Source organism: Homo sapiens, chromosome 6 (assembly GCF_000001405.40).
Source record: "Homo sapiens chromosome 6, GRCh38.p14 Primary Assembly".
NCBI lineage: Eukaryota > Metazoa > Chordata > Mammalia > Primates > Hominidae > Homo > Homo sapiens.
Window position 1 is genome coordinate 31336100 of NC_000006.12, and position 7071 is coordinate 31343170.

The 7071-nt window shown below is 39.3% G+C and overlaps 1 annotated feature.

Moving 5' to 3' along the window:
- Positions 390 to 1589: an enhancer, noted in NCBI's record as "MED14-independent group 3 enhancer chr6:31304266-31305465 (GRCh37/hg19 assembly coordinates)". NCBI's record gives its function as "activates an origin of replication core promoter dependent on BRD2, BRD4, P300/CBP and CDK7 cofactors, and independent of MED14, by STARR-seq in HCT116 cells {active_cell/tissue: HCT116}" and the evidence as "EXISTENCE:reporter gene assay evidence [ECO:0000049][PMID:35650434]".

The following is a 7071-nucleotide window of genomic DNA, read 5'->3' on the forward strand; positions in this document are numbered from 1 at the left end:
CCACCAACACAGAGCATAATGTATTTCCTCCTGGGAAACAGGACTTTTATCATTTACATATTGTATTAAAAGCTGGCAGTCCAATCCTCATTTGACCCGAATTTTGGCCAGAAAACTGAAGGCTTTAGAATAGGTTCCTTGGTCCAAATGAAACAATAATACTTTATCATCTGTTGCTTTTTCTTATGTTTAGTCCTCTCGTATACTTCCAATATTTTAACATGAGTCCTAAAGGACTATCAGAGGTGATTTCACTGTCTGCCTTTTCCTTTTTACCTTCTGTCTTACTCAGGGTATTTCCCATGTTGAATACTGGTTAGGCTCAGTCCCTTGAACTAGAGATTTTTCACCTATCCTTCCCTGGAGGTTTAACCCCTATCCTGGAGGTTCCTTGCAATCTTCTCCTTCTGCTTCGTCCACTCTGGCTGCTTTCCCAGAGGAAATTAGGCTCCCCTTAGCATCAGCGGGACTGTATAAACCCCAATGTCAGGATCCCTACAAGAGGGCCACCATAAGCCGTATGAGGTGACCACAGAACCACAGATTGGACTCACTCACTCTGCACAGCAGTAGTGCTTGTTACCTTTCACACCCTTTAACCTCCAGAATATCCCGACCACCAAGGAAATACTGTTGCCCTTGTGACTTTTTTTACCTCAGTCTGTGCACAGTTACCTGGTCATTGCGGTACTTGCAGGCCTTCTCCTTCCACATTGCTGAGAGCCTGGATTTATTCGTCACAATGGGTAGTCTCAGTCTCCCGTCCCTGGGGCCACTGCAGTGGGGCAGTGGGGTGCACCTCCCCTAGATGGGGTGACCAAAGACCCCTTCCCAAAGAAGAATGGGAATAGTGGATGAGCCCCCAGAAAATTGTTAGAAATAAAGCTCGGAGTCACAAAGAAAACAAACACTTGAACAAAGGATTTCTCAGCAAGGCAATTTTTACTTCTGCAGAAGGGTGCTACCCATAAGCCTGATTGCCATGAGAGCACCCAGAACAAAGGAAAACAGGGGTTTTTATTCCTAACGCAAGTTGTTTCTACTATTGTGTCCTGTCTCCATTGGCTGGAACTGGACCACACAATCTAAACTGATCCCAGTTGGCTAAAAACTTAAACTTTCCCAAATAAGGTAAAGGTGCAATGGGGAACAAAGGAAAGGAGGGGGTCACTTATGGGAAACCAGGAAGACAATAATATTTCCAAATAAGGAAAGAGCATAATCTGCGAGCTGGGACATGTCTGGGCATGTCCAGGCAGATCCAGGCAGACTAGGGGACAAAGGAGTTAGGCCTTGGTTCAAGTACAAGAACATAGAATGTGTTTATTTCTTTACTGTATGTAACAACTCCTTGGGGGCACAATAAAGAATCATTAGTAAAATAGAAGATTTGTTAGTATGAAGAGCAAGGGAAACTTAAAGGAAGCTTTTAAGAGGAACTATCTTCTTAACACTTATCATTCTAAACCAAAAAGGAAAACTTTGAAGAGGAACTTTTATTCTTAACAAATTTTCTCTCTTTTTTTCTAGGTTTGTTTAGCTAGTGGTTTATCAATTTTGTTTATGTTTTTGAAGAACAAACTTTTCACTTTGTTGATCATTTACATGGTTTTTAAAAGTCTTTATTTAGTTCTACTATGATCTTTATTATTTCTTTTCTGCTAATTTTTGATGTGTTTTTTTCTTGCTTTTCCAGTTCCTTGAGGTTCATTGTTATATTGTTAATTTGTAATGTTTCTACTTTTCTTAGGTAGGTATTTATTCCTATAAACCTCCCTTTTAGCCCTGTTTAGCTGTATCCCACAGGTTTTGGTATGTTGTGTTTCCATTTTCATTTGTTTCAAGAAACTTTTTAATTTACATCTTAATTTCTCTGTTGACTCAATGGTTATTCAGGAGCATGTTGTTTAATTTCCATGTATTGGTCTTGTTGCCAACATTTCTCTTGGTGTATATTTCTAGTTTTATTCCATTGTGGCCAGAGAAGATATTTAATGATTTCAATTTTTGAAAATTTGTTCAGACTTGTTTTGTGGCTTAACATAGGCTCTCTCCCTGAAAACGTTCCATGTGTTCATGAAAGGAGTGTACATTCTGTAGTGTTAGATAGAATGCTCTATAAATATCTGTTAGCTTTATTTGGTGTAAAATTCTGTTTAAATCCAATGTTTCTTTCTTGATTTTCTATGTAGATGATCTGTCTCATGCTGAGGTTGGGATGTTGAAGTCCCCTACTATTATTGTATTGGAGTCTATCTTTCTTGTTAGATGTAGTAATATTTGTTTTATGAGTCTAGGTTCTCCAGTGTTTAGTGCATATATATTTAGAATTGTTCTATTCTCTTCTTGGAAGGATCTCTTTATGATTACGTGATGGCCTTCCTTATCTTTTAAAAAAGTTGTTCTTGACTTACAGTTTATTTTATCTGCTATAAGTATAGCTACTCCTGCTCACTTTTGGTTTCCATAGATAACCTCTTGCCATTCTTTTACCTTCTGTCTCTATGGATTGTGGTGAGGTGGTATTACCGGTGAGTTTTTCTGTAAGCAGAATGTAGTTAGATCATGTTTTCTACCCATTCAGCCATTCTAAATCTTATAAGTGGAGAATTTAATCTGTTTACATTCCAGATTTTTATTAATATGTGAGGCTTTGTGCCGAGACTAGCTCAGTTGGGAAGACCCTAACCCAGTGGCACTAGAGGAATCAAAGACACACACACAGAAATATAGAGGTGTGAAGTGGGAAATCAGGGATCTCACAGCCTTCAGAGCTGACAGCCTTGAACAGAGATTTACCCCCATATTTATTAACTCAAGCCAGTGATAAGCATTGTTTCTATAGATTATAGATTAACTAAAAGTATTCCTTATGGGAAACAAACGGATGGGCCAAAATAAAGGGATGGGTTTGGCTAGTTATCTGCAGCAGGAGCATGTCCTTAAGGCACAGATCACTCATGCTATTGTTTGTGGTTTAAGAACGACTTTAAGCAGTTTTCCGCCCTGGGTGGGCCAGGTGTTCCTTGCCCTCATTCCGGTAAACCCACAACCTTCCAGCGTGGGCATCATGGCCATCATGAGCATGTCACAGTGCTGCAGAGATTTTGTTTATGGCCAGTTTTGGGGCCAGTTTACGGCCAGATTTTTGGAGGCCTGTTCCCAACAGCTTTGTTCCTATCACATTGTTGTTTTCGGGTTGTTTTATATGTCCTTTATTACTGTCTTTTTCTCTTATTGCTTGTCATTATGGTTTGGTGGATTTCTGTAGTAGGACCATTTGAGACCTTTCTCTTCCTCTTTTGTGTGATTGCTTTACCAGTGAGTTTTATACTTGTGTATGTTTTCATGGTGATAATGTGGAAATGTTGAAAATGTCGTTTCAATTCCAGGTTTAGGACTTTCTTGAGCATTTCCTGTAGGCCCTGTCTAGTGGTAATGAAGCCTTTCAGCATTTGCTTGTCTTGGAAAGATAATTTCTTTTTTCAATTATGAAGAATACTTATGTTTTGTTTATTACTCTTGGCTTGGCAGTTCTTTTCCTTCAGGACTTTGATTATACTATCCTATTCTCTTCTGGCCTGTAAGATTTCTGCTAAGAAATCTGCTGTTAGAGCTGGGCACAGTGGCTCACACCTGTAATCCCAGCACTTTGGGAGGCTGAGGTGGGTGGATCATGATGTCAAGAGATTGAGACCATCCTGGCCAACTTGGTGAAATCCCGTCTCTACTAAAAATACAAAAAAAAAAAAAAAAATTAGCTGTGTGTGGTGGCGTGTGCCTGTCATCCCAGCTACTTGGCAGGCTGGGGGAGGAGAATCACCTGAACCCAGGAGGCAGAGGTTGCAGTGAACCGAGATCATGCCACTGCACCCCAGCCTGGCAGCACAGCGAGACTCCATCTCAAAAAAAAAAGAAAGAAAAAAGAAAAAGAAATCTGCTGTTAGTCTGATGGGGTTTCCTTTATAGGTGACTAAACACTTTCCTCTTGCTATTTTTAGGATTTGCGTTTTACCTTATACTATAGAAAGTCTGATTATATGCCATGGTGAGGAACTTTTTGCATTGTATTTTTCTCAGAATTATTGAACATTTTGTATCTGAATGTCTAAATCACTTGCTAGAGTTGGGAATTATTCATCTATTCTTTCATTAAATAGGTTTTCTAATCTGTTCTTTGTCTCTTTGCTCTTGAGAATACCAATAATTTGAATATTTGGTTGTTTATATTGTACCAAATGTCACAAAGGCTTTGCTCATTCTTTTTTTGTGTGTGTTTTTGTCTTATTGAATTATTTCACTATGTATATCTTCAAGTTTTGGAATTCTTCCTTCTGCCTGACCTAGTATGTTGTTGAAGCTTTCAAATGTATTTGGAATTTCATGTCATGAATTCTTTAATTCCAGAATTTCTGTTTTTTTTTTTAAATCTATATCTTTTGTAAACTTCTTATTTGTATCCTGAATTATTTTTATGTTTTCTTTGTATTTTTTTCAGAATTCTTTTGTATCTCACTGAACTTCTGTAAAATGAATGTTTTGAGTCCTTTATCTAGAATCTTGAAAATTTCTTTTTGATTAAGATCTATTGTCTTCCTTTGCGGCTTTTTTTTTCTTTTTTGCTTTTTCATGTTTCTGTGTCCTAACGTTAATATTTTTGCATCTGATATAACAGTCAGTTCTTCCTATTTTTGAATTTTGTTTCATAGTGGAGAGCATTTTCCTGAAGATGAGTCTATGGTGTTGGTTGCGTGGGGTACTTTGGATTTGATTCTGGGTGTAGTACATAGTAGAGTACTATGGCCTCTGTATAATTTCTTTGGCTGTAGACAGTGTTAATGGTATCTGTGATTTCTTCTGTGCATTAGGGTGTGGTTATTAGTGAGGCTGTGGTGAAAATGTGCTGGGGACTGAGATGCCACATGAGACAGTCTTCAGGCTCCAGTGGTGGCAGTGGTGTGCTGAGTGTTCCTATCTTTGTGCCCCAAGGTGGTATATACTGGCATTTGTGTTGGTGGTTACTGGTGGGCTGATTCCTGGGCTTCCAGGTGGCTTGCTTGGATGGCAGTAGTGGCAGTGGTTGACTGGGTAGGTGCTGGGGACTTCGGCTCCTGGGCAGCCAGCTTGGCAGTGGCAGTGGTGGGCTGCTTCTCTGGGTCCCAAGCAGTGTGCACTGTTAGCGGCAGATGCGATAGGCTGGGTGGGATGCCCATAGGTGGTGTTTGCAGGTAGGTGACAGCTAAGGTGATTGCATCCAACCTCAGGTACCCAGGAGGAGTGCACAGGTGCCCAAGGTGGTGGATTGGGTTGAGGAATTCCCAGGCCCTGGGGCTGTGTTCTCTGTCTCAGTGGGAGGGGGCGATGAAGTTGTCTCTTCATCATTAAATGCTGTGCCAACTAGTCCCTTAATTTTCTTTTTGCCTAGAGGACTGAAACATTTATTATAGTTTAGGTCTGCTGGTTATTTTTTCACTCCCTGTATGTCTAAAATCCATTTGTTTGTTTGTTTGTTTGTTTGTTTATTTTTGAGACAGAGTCTCACTCTATTGCCCAGGCTGGAGTGCAATGGTGTGATATTGGCCTACTGCAACCTCCGCCTCCCATTTTCAAGTGATTCTCCTGCCTCAGCCTCCTGAGTAGCTGGGAATTACAGGAGCATGCCACCATGCCTAGCTAATGTTTGCATTTTTAGTAGAGACGAGGTTTCACCATGTTGGTCAGGCTGGTCTTGACTCCTGACTTCGTGATCTACCTACCTCGGCCTCCCAAAGTGTTGGGATGACAGGCATGAGCCACCATGCCTGGCCTAAAATCCCTTTATTTTTTGATAGATATATTCAAGGTGTGTTAGCTTAATTTAATCATTACATAGGGTACACATATATCAATACATTAAACAATATCTCACGAATGTATTATACTTTGTCAATTAAAACTATACATATATATTTGAAAAAGGCATTATTTTCTGGGAATAGAATCTAGTTTCACAGCATTTTCCTTTTAGGACTCTAAAGATGTTGCTCATCTGTCTCCTCATTTGCATTGTTTCCAATGAAATAACTGCTGTCATCTTTATTATTATTCTTATTTTTTCACTTTCGCTTTTTCAATTTTCTCTTCTTCTGTGGTTTTCAACAAATACGTGCTTTTTTTTTAACCCAGAATTATAGAGTGAACGTGAGAAACAATCTCTAGGGAGGGCTTTTTGACTATTGCTTGTAAATTTTTAGAAACAGTTGTTTGCTCCTTGTTTTATTAGATCACAGGCTAATTTCCTCAGAGTATTCTTATATTGAAGAATGTCATAATTAATTTTACTGATCATCCCTAAAACCATAAAAACCCTAGAAGAAAACCTAGGCAATACCTTTCAGGCCATAGGCATGGGCAAGGACTTCGTGACTAAAACACCAAAAGCAATGGCATCAAAAACCAAAATTGACAAATGGGATCTAATTAAACTAAAGAGCTTCTGCACTGCAAAAGAAACTACCATCAGAGTGAACAGGCAACCTACAAAATGGGAGAAAATATTTACAATCTACCCATCTAACAAAGGGCTAATATCCAGAATCTACAAGGAACTCAAACAAATTTACAAGAAAAAATCAAACAACCCCATCAAAAAGTGGGCAAAAGATATGAACAGACACTTCTCCAAAGAAGACATTTATGCAGCCAACAGACACATGAAAAAATGCTCATCATCACTGGCCATCAGAGAAATGCAAATCAAAACCACAGTGAGATCCCATCTCACACCAGTAAGAATGGCGATCATTAAAAAGTCAGGAAACAACAAGTGCTGGAGAGGATGTGGAGAAATAGGAACACTTTTACACTGTTGGTGGGACTGTAAACTAGTTCAACCATTGTGGAAGACAGTGTGGCAATTCCTCAAGGACCTAGAACTAGAAATACCATTTGACCCAGTGGTCCCATTACTTGGTATATACCCAAAGGATTATAAATCGTGCTGCTATAAAGACACATGCACATGTATGTTTATTGTGGCAGTATTCACAATAGCAAAGACTTGGAACCAACCCAAATGTCCATCAATGATAG